The sequence below is a fragment of the Homo sapiens genome, chromosome 4, assembly GCF_000001405.40.
Source record: "Homo sapiens chromosome 4, GRCh38.p14 Primary Assembly".
NCBI classification, from domain to species: domain Eukaryota; kingdom Metazoa; phylum Chordata; class Mammalia; order Primates; family Hominidae; genus Homo; species Homo sapiens.
Genome location: NC_000004.12, coordinates 147,930,309 through 147,946,587, shown reverse-complemented (window position 1 = coordinate 147,946,587; position 16,279 = coordinate 147,930,309). Strand labels below are relative to the sequence as shown.

Here is a 16,279-nt window from a genome sequence, read left to right as displayed (position 1 = left end):
ATTAAAACCTTGATCATCAAAGGTCCTCTTGTCTAGCTCACAAAGCTTCCATTTTTAAATGGGCAAACCACAATCCTGCAGTTTCCTAGGAAAACATTATATATATGATTTCTCTAAAATACTATAAGCTATGTTCTATGACTAGACACTTCTGGCACTTCGTAAAATCTGTAGTAGAGATCAAAGCAAAAAATAAGAGATGGGTTGGGAGTAAGGAAGAATTAGACATAGTATATTATTTCAACATCCACAATGTAATTCATGTATAGCTATTATCATCATCATCGTTAACAGTATCACTCAGTAGCCTTGGCTTATAGCAAGCGGCACTTTCAGTTGTATGCACATGGTTTGAGGTGTTTTAGGTGGCATTGTTGCCCTCATACTGTGTATTGATAGAGGCAGGAGACAGCCAACTAAGTAGGGTAGAGTCCCCAGAGAACCTCCGATCCACCCAGGTCATTGTGCACATAAGGCTTGCCTATACATGCCCACGGTAAAAATTTCGGTCTTTTAACACATGCTTAGAAAGGGAAATAAATCAATGTGGAGTGGCTTAGACTAAGGGCCCACACGCGCACTGGGGGAACAGGGTGGAGCTACTGGGAATTCCCGCCTTATGCAAAGGAGGAGCCAGACCTCTTCAATTCATGTGTGGTGGCCTTGCGTTCAATATGAGAGGTGGGAGCCCGCTGGTGGGACCCCCTCTCTTTGCTGAGCACTCCCCTTAAGCTTAATAAGTTCCACTCTCCTCACCCTTCACTGTGTCCGCATGTCTAATTTTTCCTGGTGATGACACAAAAACACGGATTTAGCTGAACCAAGGAGCAAAAAAATCCTGCATCATCATGACACAGAAAACCGAGGGTGGCACCATGAATGGCCAAATGACTATCAGAATGGCAACAAACTGGTGAAAGGATGATAAACTTGGTCTCAGATTTTCAGGATTTCTGTTCATTAGACTATCTTTCTGAAATTAACATATGATCAACCAAAACAGAAAATAACTACACAGAGACTTAAAAAGTCATTTACAGTTAACCTTTCACATTAACACTATAATATAGTCATCCGGGAAATATTTATTGGAAGCCTCTGTTCAACACTCTAGACATTCATTCTAACTTAAACTAGTTTTCTTTATCCAAATAGCGTGTAATTATGTGTTTCTTACAAACATCCTTTCAAATGGTAAGTCAGTTAATAGGGCTGCTTCTTTATAAAGTAAAAGAAGAAAATTCAAAACGGCTAGTAAGTTCTAAAGAAAAGGTATATGGCACCAGGAAAAAAAAAAGGAGATGGGAGAGTTAGTAAATTGTGGAATGGAAAGTGTCAATTCTGGTAGAAATAAAATGAAAGGATGGCAGGAAAGGCAAACCCCTAAGGAGTATGATGGCTTCTTTGACTCTTAGAACTCTGGGCTGGTACACTCAGCTGTGGCATGGCGGCAGGGAGGAATGCAGCATGGGTATCACAAAGCTGGGCTTACACGCTTCTAACAACCTGGCCCAGCCATACCACCACAAGCGAGTTGCAAACCTATCTGAACTTCAGATCTTCATCTGCACAATGGAGATAATGTAAATGCTCTCACAGAACGATTGAGAGCATCAAGGCAAATGAAGAACGTATACAGATTTCCATAAATAATTAAACGTAGCAGGTTATTGCCACTGCTGAGTCACTGAAAAGTATAAGCAAGCAGTGATGGTACCTACCCAAAGGGAGGAGGCAGGAAATGGGTTACGACGAATGATATTGAGCCATCAATATCAATTTGCCTGGTTTTCTACACACCTACTATGCAAAGGAGAAAGTAAGAGGTTCATGGAAAAGACTATTTCTCCCTCACTCCACGATGATGTCTTAACTAAGACCAAAAAAAACCTCGTTGTTTCAGGGTTTTTTCCCTCCCTTATACTGTATTTGTCTTCATAGAGAAGGCAACATCTTGTTAGCATTTCCTTTTTAAAAACACTAAAAAGAAAAACCTGTCAAAATGGTACCACCACATTAAGTCGTGCATGCTACTTAAAAAGTTTTAGGCTTGGGATGATGAAGGGTGGATGACAACTCAATGTTGGGCTGAAACTTTCTGAAGATAAAGTAAAACAGGAAGTGATGGTTATTTCACAGGCATAGCATCATACATATGAGGTCAATTACTCAAAGGTCTGAAGACTTTTAAAGCACTTCAACATTTCTTGATTACAGCAACTGACAGCAATATGCAATAAACTACAACAATGGCAATTGACACTGATTACATTTTGATCAGTTCCTACAATTCTGAACTCATTTGTTACTGAGCTTGTCAGACAAGCCACAGATACATTCAAGAAATCAAATTAAGCCCCCTGATTAAAGGTGCAATCCTTTATAACTAGGACTAAATAATTCTGTTCTAAAGACTTTGCCAACCAATTACTTCAGTAACTGAATATTCTCTCTCTCATTAAATCAATTATTTAAATCTCGTTTTAACATACAAGTCAGATAACATTTTCAATCAACTTGCTACCAGCAAACCACCTTTTTAAAATCCAAGAGGCTTCTAAAGGAAATCTTTTATTTCCAGCTTTCTACCAAATTATGATTCCGTATTTTGAGAATCATATTCTGTCTATGGAAAAATAAGCCATCATTCTAAATTCATGGAATAAAAAGCAGCTGTCACATCAGAAGCAAATGACTACACAGTGTCTATGTTACTAATTCTCTCTTAAATTTTCACTGTTTTCAAATAGCTCAATCATCCCTAGCAGTCCTTTAGAATCAGTGAATGCACTGGGACTAGGCAGAATTTAATAATTATTTGGGATTCAAATGTGAAAATACATTTGGAGGGTTCATTCAGAATACATGTTCTACCATAAGAAAGATAAAAACAATTTGCTTCCTTTCTGACCAAGGAAGGACACTTTATGGGTTTGTTAAAAATCTAAACTAACAAGCACAGATAAAAAGAGTTGACTTTTTATTTGGGTGAATGTTTCACGCTTACGTAACCACTGGTCATTTTTTTGAAACTGAAAATCTGCAGTCCAACCTAAATGCAAAGTGCAATTTTATGCAGCTGCTAGCACCCTACTCAACACTGACTTAGGTCCAATTTTAAAGTACTTGAAAAAGCACAGTGAATGGATGAATTTTGAAAATATGTTTTATACTTTTCAGCTACGTTAGTTCACTTTTTTCCCCAATCTATGCAACAAAGCTGTCCTACAAAGGAAACAAGGTAATGGTTTTCAAGTAAAACTCTTCTCATTTCTTGTTTTCTGTGGTTTTATGTGTGAAAATAAGGTCATCCAGCCCTTCTTGCAAATCAGATTTAGAATTAACCACTGAGCTCACCAGACCACACAAACTACTACCACATTTTCTCACAATTTCCTCTTCTTCCACTCTGATGTTTTAAACTAAAGTAGGGAAGAAGGAAGAATGTATAACAATTCTACCTCGTATCAGTTCTAATCTACCATGAACTATTGTAATTGATATTTTACATTCTCACTCCATTTACTAAAAAACCATGACTCACCTAAAGACAACTCATCTGATATTTCTCCCTGCCTTTCCAAACTGTGCTAAGTTTCTACTTTACAAAAACAATAACAACTTCTACCAAATCTGTGCGCCCTGTCTTAGAGGCTGCAAAGGGGAAGAAAAAGGCAGGCATCTGCTTATATGGGCATGTTCTTTCAGCAGCTTAAGAAGCTTGGTCCAGGGAAAGGCTTAGAGGCTGCTGGAAATCCAGCGGATAGCTGCCTTAGGCTCCCAGAGGGGAAGACAACTAAGAATACCCTCTCATCACCGGATGGAGGAAGGCAGCTGCCTGCTCCTTTACCTGGCCTCGAGGAGAATAACTGCCTCTCTATTTAGACAGTTTTCTATGGTCAATGTCATTGCTATTTCATGCCAGCTGGGAATTAGGGGAGAAGGAAAGAAGGGGGAGAGAATAAAGAGGATAAGGAGGGAACAAAGGGGCAGGAGAAGGAGGACGGAGAGAAGGATAGTGGAAAGAAACATTTTGCTATTTTAATATGAAATATGAAGGGAAAAAACATACCAGAAAAAAGAGACAAGTGAAAAAACATGCAAGAGATTAAGCATATACCCTTTTAGAAATCATTATAAACTTTTACATGAGTATTTAAATAAGACTTAAAACACTTTAACAAACAATACAAAGTACTTTGTGTAAAAATGGCAATAAAAAATTCTAAAGTAAATAATTAGCTCTCAAGAACTACAGAGAATTGGATAAATGGCAGCTCTCCTCAAAAAATAGTACATGGCTTGGGACTGTTTCTCAAATACTTAAAAATTAAATTATTTCCCATTTCTACAAAGACAATGCATTACAAACAAAATGTTCCTTGAAAAAATTCAAATTTGAAATAAACCTATTACCTGCAGGAATAATAATAAACACTAATTGCTTTAAAAAAGCAAAGTTAAAAACTTGGCAGACCCACACAATTTTTTCCTCTTCAGGATATACATGTAACCCTCTAACAATGAGCAAAATGGGAAAAGTTGGAGAAAAAAATGCCCCTAAGATTATGTAGACATGACTATTCAAAACTCTAAAACCCTTTTTTTGGAAGAGGCGTTAAATTATTTCCATTTGAACACTCAATCAGTGTTCAATATGAAGGGAAAAAACACACCAGAAAAAAGAGACAAGTCCACTCCATCAGAATAAAAGGAAAGAAATAAGGAAACATTTAAGTGATTAGGAAATAGCAAATAAATATATTTTGTCAAGGGCTAAGGTTTGTATTGGTAGCATAAGGTAATAAGAAAATGGTATTAATGCTAATGAAAATCCAAAGTTTTTGACTGATAATCTTAAATTCACACTAGGAATTATTTATAGATTACTCAAAACAAATGTATATTGTGTAACCCTCTTAAATGAATGGCTTAATGAGGAGGTAACAAGTCAGTATCTGTCTCACATCAATTCTCTAACTTTCCTCTGATTGCAGAATGGTATTACTGAAAACATAAGCATTTCCCTTGCCAGCAATATGTGTGAGGTTGTGTCACACTCATGTCCTGGGCTTCTCTACTCTGAGGCCCATGAAAAGTAAAAACAGTTTTCCAGGTCACGAATTTTTTGAGGGTTTAGATATTTAAAAACACCTTGTAAGTTAAGGACTGGCTTGGGACATTTCCCATGAGCAGAGCAAACTACCACGCTGAGTTTAGCAATGCTGTACACGTAGAATTTTATGAGATGACCAACAAATTTTGAGACAGCTTAGCACTTCAAGGTGACCACAGAAAAACCCTTGTTCAAACTTTCCTTGAACAGGAACAAGATGATAATAAAAATAATGCCAGGTCCTTAGGACCAATTTACCAGCAAAATGTGCCTTTCAGTCCACATTTCCCATTCTGTTATCAATATACTCTTCCAGTTCTAATCATCATAACACCATCTTGGAAATGAAAGAAGTGATTCCAATTTTAAAATTAAGTAAAAGCAGATGCTGTACTCCCATTAAATTCTTCCAGCTGCTACTGAACCACTGGCAACCTGAGTCTATTTAATTTGGAGACCACTATTGGTAAAAAGGAAAATCTGACTGCCAAAATTGCACACCCAAGTTAAACCAGAGAGGCAGAAAATGAAAACAGCTTATGGAAGTGAATGTATTCTAATAAGGCTCTCCAACTGATGACGGGCAATTTCTCCTGTGGTTAATAGCTTATAAAAGATTGTTGCTTATTAAATCCTTAATTCAAATATAGGCAAACAAGCAATCCTATCTGTAGCATGGCAGTTGATTTTATTCAACTTGGCTCATGCTTCCTAAAAATGACTCTTTGCTGTAATGTTTTAAGATGCAGACAGGTTGGAATGCATTCACAGCACACCTGAGGGCATTGTTAATATTGATTAATTAAAGTAAGGTATCAAATAAATTAATATGTAGCAAGATCATAATGACAGATTGGTTTGATACACAGGCCCTCTAGCCTGATGAGTTATCATCACTCTTCAAGAGGCAGCCTGTTTTGGGGTGGGGGAGAAGTGGAGTGTCTTACAGGTGGCAATGAACTGACAGCAGTGTGTAATGTAAAAGCGCTTTGTCATTCACATAATGTCTGGGGTAATGAAATGAATTCACTTTCTGGCTTCCTCTAGTCTGCGATGCCAAAGAACACTGTGTTATCAGCACAGATGGAGCATGCATGGTTCTGGAGGAGAGCCTGGTGTGAACTACAAACAAGCCACTGTGAATACCAATGAATCCCTGAGAATCAGACCCTTGCTGTCAAATGACAGTTTTGGAAGCTCCATAAAAATGAGCGAGTCCCAGTGGTCTTGTCCAACCAAATGTACTGTCACAATTCTGGACAGGCTATTTGGAAGCCACGCAAATCATAGAGGCCTGACTGCCACTTCCCTGTGAGAAGCAAGCACAGGAAGATAGTCAACCAGGGGGTGCATTCTTTTTTCATTTCTTAATAAGAGGTAATAGACAATCTATGCTGATGCAAATACTAATCTACTTCTGTGGGTCAATTGTCTCTGCTCAGCAGAAAACTCCTGTAGAAAGTAGAGGAATGGAATGACAAGTATTCTCTACATTATTATGAAATATTAAGCTGTGAAGTCAATGAACATACACAAATAACACATGGAAAAATGATTAGAAAAGAGGCATACCCATCAACATACTCAGAAGTCTCTGGACCTTTGAACTCACCCCCACAACTCTGTACAATCCTTGGTCATTTATACCTATGGGAAGAAACAAACTATTAGCAAAATAGAAGACTATCATATTTTAAAAGCCATCAAACAGTTGCATTCAAAATCTTTGCTAACTAACATTAGCAGCATTCCTGTTAACTATAAAAATAACCTTTGAAAAAATCAAGTGTTTAACAACTTGTTTTACTAGCTTTTTATCTGTAAGTTGTGGTTAAAAAAATAATCTCAGCAAACAATGTTCCATGTGGACAAAAATGAAATGCCTCAATGTTAGTAAGTTAGTTAAGTATCATGGATACATTGAAATGAATACCAATCCAATTTGTAAAGATGCACTAAAACTTTTATGTTTACTGTATTTACTTGTTTACATTTTTCTTCAAAAGTTTTAGCCTTTTAAAAATACGGTGATGATTAGTACATAGAAATCATTGTTTGGATGATTTCTGAAAACCATAGAAATTCATTCAAAACTAAAGCAAAACTGTAATTTTTTTTAAAGTTGTTACATGTCCTGTCCAGTGAGGAGCTGTGAAACTTCAAATCAATATCACCACAAAGTATACTGCAAAATGAACCAAATCAATGCATCCTCTCTCTCTACAGAGATCTGAAAACAAATTGTCCCTGAAAACAAGAGACATATAAAAGAAAATGTATTGTCAAACCTAATTTGGTATGCTGAACAAATATCCTTATCATTTGCATTCTGATCTGAACAAATCAATGACGAAAAGACATTTTTGATGCAATTAGCAAACTGAGTAGCATTAAGGGTAAGAAAATCTCCATTTGTTTAAAGTTGCATCCTGAAAGGGTTAAAAGTAACCTTACATTTGCTTTAAGAGGGAAAAAGGGATAGATGAAACAACTGTGGCAAAATCTTGATAATTATTGAATCTGGATGAGAATATGGGAATTCATTATACCAATCTCTCTACTTTTTTATGCTTGAAAATTTTCATAATAATGACTTCCAAAAAATGTGACTTATATTTACTTCTCAAATGAGTTGCAGCTTTCTGGCTGTGTGTTTATTTTCTCCGCTACGAATGTTAAAGGTAACAAGAACACAACTGGCTGACAGGCAGATGATGCCTCTAATCCCCAAAGTTTCCAAAACAGAATAACACAACAAAAGGCCATGGAATTTGACCACGAGGGTTTACTTTCTTTTCACCTCCCTGCTCGGAGTGATGAAAAGAATACTAGTCAGAGTCTAAAGAATTGGATTCAAGTCAGTTCAGTCACTCATGAGGAAGAGAGGAAACCTCTCGGAGTCTCTATGCTGTATCTGAGATCAAGGACTGCATCCTATACCCTATGTTATGCTGGGAGGGAAATGAGATGATACTAACACATGTCCTACAGATTGTAACTCACAGCACACACACAAAAGCATTCATTCTTCCTTGTCAAGTTTTGTTCCTTCTTTTTCTCTTTGCTTTTTTTAAAAATTATAGTTACATATACTATTTTTTTTAACTTTTAAGTTCAGGGGTACATGTACAGGTTTGTTACATAGATAATAAACCTGTGTCATGGCATTTGTTGTACAGACTATTTCATCACCCAGGTACTAAGCCTAGTACTCATTAATTATTCTTCCTGATCCCCTCCCTTTTCCCACCCTCCACCCTCCCATAGGCCTCAGTATGTGTTGTTCTCCTCTATGTGTCCACGAGTTCTCATCATTTAGCTCCCACTTATAAGTGAGAACATGCAGTGTTTGGTTTTCTATTCCTGCATTACTTTGCTAAGGATAATGGCCTCCACTTCCATCCATGTCCCAGCAAAGGACATGATCCTCGTTCCTTTTTAGGGCTGCATAGTAGTCCGTGGTACTTTATGTACCACATTTTGTTTCTTTTGGAGATGGAGTTTCACTCTTGTTGCCCAGGCTGGAGTACAATGGAGCAATCTCGGCTCACTGCAACCTCCACCTCACAGGTTCAAGTGATTCTCCTGTCTCAGCCTCCCAAGTAGCTGGGATTACAGGCATATGCCACCACACCCAGCTAATTTTGTATTTTTAGTAGAGATGGGGTTTCACCATGTTGGTCAGGCTCATCTTGAACTTCTGACCTCAGGTGATCCGCCTGCCTCCGCCTCCCAAAGTGCTGGGATTACAGGCATGAGCCAATACGCCTGACCCCACATTTTCTTTATCCAGTCTATCACTGATGGGCATTTAGGCTGAGTCCATGTCTTTGCTATTGTGAGTAGGGCTGCAATGAATATACATGTGCATGTGTGTGTATAACAGGACGATTTATATTACTGGGTATATACCCAAAGGAATATAAATCCTCTTTGCTTTTTATTCCTTATTTTTTAAGTTTTACAAATGTCCTATTTTTCCTTCTGTTATAGGCTGAATTGTATCCCCACAAATTCATCTGTTGACGTCCTAATCCTCAGTACTTCCAAATGTGACTGTATTTAGAAATAAGGTCTTGAAAAAAAAAGTAATTAAATTAAAATGAGGTCACCAGGGTGGGCACAAATCCACCATGACTGGAGGCCTTGTAAGAAGAGATGAAGACACAGACATGTACAGAGGGGGACCATGAGAAGACACAGGGAGAAGACAGCTATCCCCATGCCAGAGAGAGGCCTCAGAAGAAATTAACCCTGCTGATAGCTTAATATTGGACTTGTAGCCCCCAGAATTGTGAGAAAATTGATTTCTATTGTTTATTCAGCAGCCCCCATCCCCAACCTTTTTGGCACCAGGGGCTGGTTTCATGGAAGACAATTTTTCCACCGATTGGGGTGGGGGGGATGGTTTCAGAATGATTCAAGAGCATTACATTTATTATTAGATTCTCATAAGGAGTACAAAACCTAGATCACTCACATGTGCAGTTCACAATAGGGTTTGCACTCCTATAACAATCTAATGTCGCCACTGATCTGACAGGAGGCGGAGCTGAGGCCATAAGGCTTGCCCACTGCTCACCGCCTGCTGTGAGGCCTGGTTCCTAATAGGCCACGGTCTGGGGATTGGGGACCCCTGATTTAAGTCACCCAGCCTGTGATACTTTATTATGGCAGCCCAAGCAAGCTAATAATTACTCTCCATCTCATTAGAGCTTAAAGAACCAGAAGAGCAAAGGCTAGCCCTTAGTCTACCTAAGTCTACTCAGAACACTAAGGAGTCACAGCATCAGAGACACACCTTCCTGAGGGCGAACATTCAGCAACTATAAGAGAGGAAAAGGGCCGGGCGCGGTGGCTCACGCCTGTAATCCCAGCACTTTGGGAGGCCGAGGCGGGTGGATCATGAGGTCAGGAGATCGAGACCATCCTGGCTAACAAGGTGAAACCCCGTCTCTACTAAAAATACAAAAAAATTAGCCGGGCACGGTGGCGGGCGCCTGTAGTCCCAGCTACTCGGGAGGCTGAGGCAGGAGAATGGCGTGAACCCGGGAAGCGGAGCTTGCAGTGAGCCGAGATTGCGCCACTGCAGTCCGCAGTCCAGCCTGGGCGACAGAGCAAGACTCCATCTCAAAAAAAAAAAAAAAAAAAAAAGAGAGGAAAAGGAGGCCGCACAGCCCTGCCAGGAGTTGGAAAAAAGAAAAGAAAGTTGCTAAGAAACACAAAAATCAGAGACCTTTTGAGCCCGATACAGGAAAAAAGATTGAGCCTCAATCCTTCCTTCTTTTTGGAAGCCAGAAGGGCACATCCAGATAGTTTAAAATACCAGAGGGTTTCAGTACTACTCTAGCTAAGAAAGCTTAAAAAGTTTGACCTCAGTGGTAGAAGCCAAAAGAGCAAATCATACTCTGCATTCAAGCAAACATGCCTCTGTGAAAACGGCCTGAATTATATGGAGAGATGAAATAAGAATGTCACTTCGGCAATAATAATCACTCTGTGCCAGTAATTACTATCAAATAATTGATCAAGTTCAAATTCATCAACCTGAGAGAAGTAATTGCTAATGCATACTGAGAGGTGCAAGGGGGAATTAAAGCTACTCAACACAGTTTCTACATTTTTAAATGAAATTTAAATAAACCTTGCACAAAAGCAGCTTGGAAATCGCACGTAAAATACATACACTCAAGTCTTGTTCGATTTTCTATTTCTTGCTACACTGTTCTCAAAGGCTCTGAACTAAATGAGAGCTGGAACATACTTTTTATCTATGAACACATATATGTTCATATAAAAGGCATCAAATACATCTTAAGGATATAAACCAACCAATATGCCAAGGCATATTAGTGAGTTTATCATGTCCTTTTCCAGCTTCTTTTCCAAATTTCCCTGTCAACCAAAGGGATCACTATTTCTGATCAACAAGTATTAGAAATTTGAAATCTTTGACTTCTTCCCTGTCACTTTCCAAATGCAACAAGTCAATGTCCACTCTTTCTTCAAACTTCAGACTAATGTCTGCCTCTTCAACACAGTCCTGAATTTCATGCACACACATTTATTACGGAATCCCTAAAAAGAAACACACAACTATAATCCATTCTGAACACTGTCTTCTATCTTTTTATTTTCAAACCACTATTATTATCTAATGTCCCCTGGATCCCCATTTAAGAGCCAGCCTTCAGATCCAGCCCACATCCTCTAGCCTTAACAAGTATGTAAGGCACACACACGCACACATCCATGACGGGCCTCACCTCATCTTCCTACAGGGACTGCAGTGTATTCAACTTAATCACAACAGACAGCTCGACCATCACCCACAAATAACCAAGTTCATTGCATCCTCTGCGGCTACATTCAGGCTGAAGTCTCCCCAGCAGGAATGCTCTTCCCCTTCTCTTCACAGATTTATTCAACTGTCATATATTTATTCATCAGATATGTGCCAGGTGCTATTCTGGTTGCCCAAGATTCGACAGTGAGTAAAATTCCCATCTAAACCTTCAAAACCGGATAAAAATCCCCTTTTTGACACCAGCCCACAGTGATACTCCCTTCTTCTAAACATAACTCATAATTGATTCCTTTTAATTTAACACTTGATTACATTTAAAATTTTTTATTTTTAAGGCAGGGTCTCATTCTGTCACCCAGGTGGAATGCAGTGGTGTGATAACAGCTCTCTGCAGCCTTGACCTCCTTGGATCAAGCCATCCTCCCATGTCAGCCCCTCGACTAGCTGGGACTACAAGCACATGCTACCACACTAGGCTGAATCTATTTTTTGTAGAGAGCGGGTCTCACTATGTTGCCTGGGCTGGTCTCAAACTCCTGGTGCAAGTGGTCCTACTGCCTCAGGGCATCCCAAAGTGCTGGGATTACAGGCAAGAGCCACTGCACCCACCAGGGTACATCTTAAAACAAGTCCACAATCTTAGTCACAACTCCCAAAATCAAAAGCGTTAACGGATAGAGGAGTGGCATCACCAAGATGGTGGCACAGAAAGTAACCTGCTCATATCCCCATATGACAGTAAGAATTCTGCATCCATCCACCATCAAAGTCTCTCTGTGGGAATCTCAGGATTCAGGTAAAAGTTTGTGAAACCTTGGTGGAGCCCAAGACCTGGGAGGGTCACTTTGAGAGTGCAGACCAACATCCAGGTGGCTGATGTGCCACAAGCTTGCTCCTAGATTCAAGCTTGACAATGGTCCAGTCCTCCAAGGGACTTAGCTACAGCCCTCTTTGGCCTTGAGCCTGCAGTTGAAACTATCTGCCAAGGGGTCCAAAAGGAATCTTGCACACTGGTGCTTTGGCAGAAAGGTTCGTCTGCATACTAACAGTGGTCTCAGCAGTGAACCTGAGACTTGCCCTGTGGCTTGGCTCCAGGGCCCCTCAGCCAAGGTCCCAACTCAGAGCTGCTTGCACAGGGACCCAGAGGGAAACTCACCCATGTCTCGCAGCCTGGGAGCCTGAGGCTTCCAGATGGGCTTGCCAACCTCTGCCCCACAACAGATCCTAAGGGGACCCAGGCTCAGCTCCCGCCCCTCCCACTGCAATCAGGGAACAATCTCATGTTGAGACCTACTATGAGACATACACCCAAAGAGCCTGGCTCTCCAGCCTCTGCCCCACAGCAGATACCAAGAGGGCCTCATATCAACTCCAGCCCATTCTGCTATAGTCAGAAATTCATCCCACCCATGCAGAGACCTGCTGGGAGACACATCCATCTGGGCCACTAGAACAGTCTTCTGGACTCAGGTCTTGGCCAGTATTCCCACACAGTCCCAGTATCTTTTTTGGGTCTTCCCCAGGTCCATCTGGGGCAGAAAGCCACGTCAACTTCTGAGTCCTGAAGAGACTCGTGGCAAGCCTGGGCTTAGAGCATCCTCTAGTGCTGAGACAGCTACAGTGGTCACAGGCTCAGGAAACCCAAGAGTCAGTCATCTTAGAATCCTGGAAGGCCCTCTGAAGAACAGGCACAAAGCCAGACTGGGTAGATGAAAATAAACAGCTAATCCCTCAATGCACAGACACTGTCACAAGCATCGAGAGCATTCAGGGACTGGCACAGTGGCGAGTGCCTGTAATCCCAGCTACTTGGGAGGCTGAGGGAGAAGGACTGCTTGAGTATAGGAGTTCAAGGCCATAGTGTGCTATGACTGCACCTGTGAATAGTCTCTGGGCTCCATCCTGGGCAACATAGCAAAACCTTGTCCCTAAAAAAATAAACAATTTTTAAAAGAACATTCAGGGAAATATGGCCTCACCTAACAGGCAATATAAGGCACCAGAGACCAACCCTAAAGTGATGAAGACATGCAATCTCTCAAAGAAATTTAAAGAAGATGAGCTTCCTTCTCAACAAACTTCAAGAAAATACAGAAAATCAATTCAGAAATTTATTGGGGAAATTTAACAGAGAGATTGAAATAATTTTTAAAAATCAAAAAGAAATCCTGAAGCTGAAAAAGTATAAATGCATGACCTGAAATCAGGTTATTTAAGTATTTTTTCCACTCAGACTGAATGTTCATATTTCACATGTTAAAAGTAATTTCCACACCAAACCTGCCTGGAGATGTAATATTCTATTCAGTGTATGTCCCATATTACCTTTTTATTGTTTTTTCCATTTTTTATCTCCAACTTTTAAGTTCAGAGGTACATGTGCAGGATGTACAGGTTACATAAGTAAACGTGTGCCATAGTGGTTTGCTGCACAGACCATCCCATTACTCAGGTATTAAGCCCAGCATCCATTAGCTATTCTTCCTGAGCCTCTCCCTCCTCCCACCCCCGCCTTCTGACAGGTCCCAGTGTGTGTTGTTCCCCCCATGTGTCCATGTGTTATTATTTAGCTCCCACTTGTAAGTGAAAACATGAGATATTTGGTTTTCTGTTTCTGCATTACTTTGCTAAGAAAAATGGGCTCCAGCTCCATCCATGTCCCTGCAAAGAACATGATCTCATTCCTTTTTATGGCTGCATAGTATTCCATGGTATATTACATGTACGGCATTTTCTTTATCCAGTCTATCATTGATGGGCATTTGGGTTGATTCCATGTCTTTGCAATTGTGAAAAGTAATGTAGTGAACATATGCATGCGTCTTTATAATAAAACAATTTACATTCCTTTGGGTATATACCCAGTAATGGAATTGCTGGGTCAAATGGTATTTCTGCCTCTAGGTCTTTAAGGAATCGCCACTGTCTTCCACAATGGCTGAACTAATTCACACTCCCACCGATAGTGTGTTCCTTTTTCTCCACAATCTCACCAGCATCTGTTTTTTGACTTTTTAATAATAGCCATTCTGACTGGCTTGAGATGGTATCTCATTGTGGTTTTGACTTGCATTTCTCTAATGATTAATGATGTTGAACTTTTTTTTCATATGTTTGTTGGTCACATGTATGTCTTGTCTTGAGAAGTGTCTGTTCATGTCCTTTGCCCACTTTTCAATGAGGTTGTTTTTCTCATTTAAAGTTCCTTATAGATTCTGGATATTACACCTTTGTCAGATGGATAGATTGCAAAAATTTTCTCCCGTTCTGTAGGATGTCTGTTTGCTCTGGTGATAGTTTCTTTTGCTGTGCAGAAGCTCTTTAGTTTAATAAGATCCCATTTGTCAATTTTTGCTTTTGTTGCAATTGCTTTTGGCATCTTCGTCATGAAATCTTTGCCTGTGCCTATGTTCTGAATGATCTATTATCTTTTTTAATTAAAAAGGTCTGAATTCCAAAACACACCTAGCCTTGGAATTTTCAGATGAAGAATCGTGAACCTGTATTCCACCTTCTCTCCAAATACAGAGGTATTGCCTGGAAAGATACTTGGTCAACCTTGGTTTTTGCTTTTAATAGCTTTTATGGTGCCTTGTATAGAATAGGTGGGCACAGAATAGGTATAGCTAGGTTGATCTGACTTGAATTTGATATAGAACTATAGATATAGACTTGGGCCAAAATGGACATCACAATTTAGAACTGAAAAATTAAAGTTAAAATATCCAAATTATTGTGATTTTTCAGATATAAATGCTCAGTGATGATATTGATATCAATATTGTCTAACTTTTAACAAAAATTTGTAACCTGGTCAATGTGTTTACAGGCCCCAAGTTTTTTTTTTTTTTCTCTCTTAATAAATTAGATTGAGATTCGTTCTGATAGTTAGCAAACAAAAGGTAAGCTTATCTCCATTAGAGTGATGAGCAGCTGATGACAGCTGTCTCTGGGCAAAATGGATAAGGTAAAATCAAATGTGTCTTACTTCCTACCATCTGTCTCCTCCAATCTCCCACAACACTGTCATAGAGCACTACTCACATCACCCACATCTTCCTAGAGGAGAGGGTCAAAAAGTGGGAAGCAGTCAAGTTTCATCATCATCTCTGCTCAGCTGTTTCCCTCTCAAACCCAAATGGTGTTACCAGAGCCAGAGACCACACAGCTCCAGAAAACACCTGCATGGAACTACTGAGCACTAGCAGGCATCCACTGTCCCTGTAGGTGGGCTGGAGAAGCAACACAGAAAATAAGATGTTCTGGGATAGTTAAAAAATCAGATGCAAAAGAAAAATAAAACTTAAGAGGGCTGATAAATGCAGGTAAACAAGAGAGGTAGAGATAAAGGCTAGAGTAGCTACAGCTGGCAAATAAATGTGATGAATTTGAAAACAAAGTACCATTAGAATAAAGGAAGCAGAAGAGAAAAGACAGGTAATTTTTAAAAAATAGAAATGGTAAACAGGGAGAATACAAAATAAAAGGGAGGAAAAATTGGAAATAAATGAGAAGATAGGCTAGAAATTACATAACATTTAATTTCCTGTTAATTTCACAGGAATTGCTGAGTACTTATATTTTAGGCAGTGAGGTGGAATCAAGTGAAGACACAGGGTAAAATTAAACAGACAATTAAAATTAAAAGAGAGTAACTTGAAACTAAATAGGCCAAGAAGTTCTTTCTTATCTTTTCAGCTTCAGGGGCAGTTTTTATACCCGATAGCTCCATATTCTTAATACCTCAACTTGTCCTTAGCCTATGGTATATATTTAACAAATGAATTGAAAAATAAATGAACAATTAATATATTGATGATTAATCAGTAAGGGAAATACGGAAATAAAATACATGA

At 39.5% G+C, this 16,279-nt stretch overlaps 1 protein-coding gene across 6 annotated transcripts in view, besides 1 other annotated feature; it reads right to left on the bottom strand.

Annotated features, from left to right (window-relative positions):
- The window catches only part of ARHGAP10 (Rho GTPase activating protein 10), a 340,689-nt gene that overhangs the window by 126,189 nt on the left and 198,221 nt on the right, over positions 1-16,279 (bottom strand). For 5 of the 6 annotated variants that reach the window (NM_024605.4, XM_005263215.4, XM_047416160.1 and 2 more), the window contains one exon: positions 6,689-6,763. In NM_024605.4, coding sequence (NP_078881.3) covers positions 6,689-6,763 — 75 coding nt within the window. The remainder of the gene's footprint in view (positions 1-6,688; positions 6,764-16,279) is intronic. The other variant, XR_001741324.2, reaches the window with a different exon arrangement.
- Positions 12,353-12,852: an enhancer, noted in NCBI's record as "H3K27ac hESC enhancer chr4:148854887-148855386 (GRCh37/hg19 assembly coordinates)". NCBI's record gives its function as "activates a minimal SCP1, AML or CMV promoter by ChIP-STARR-seq in naive H9 embryonic stem cells {active_cell/tissue: H9 hESC(naive)}" and the evidence as "EXISTENCE:reporter gene assay evidence [ECO:0000049][PMID:30033119]".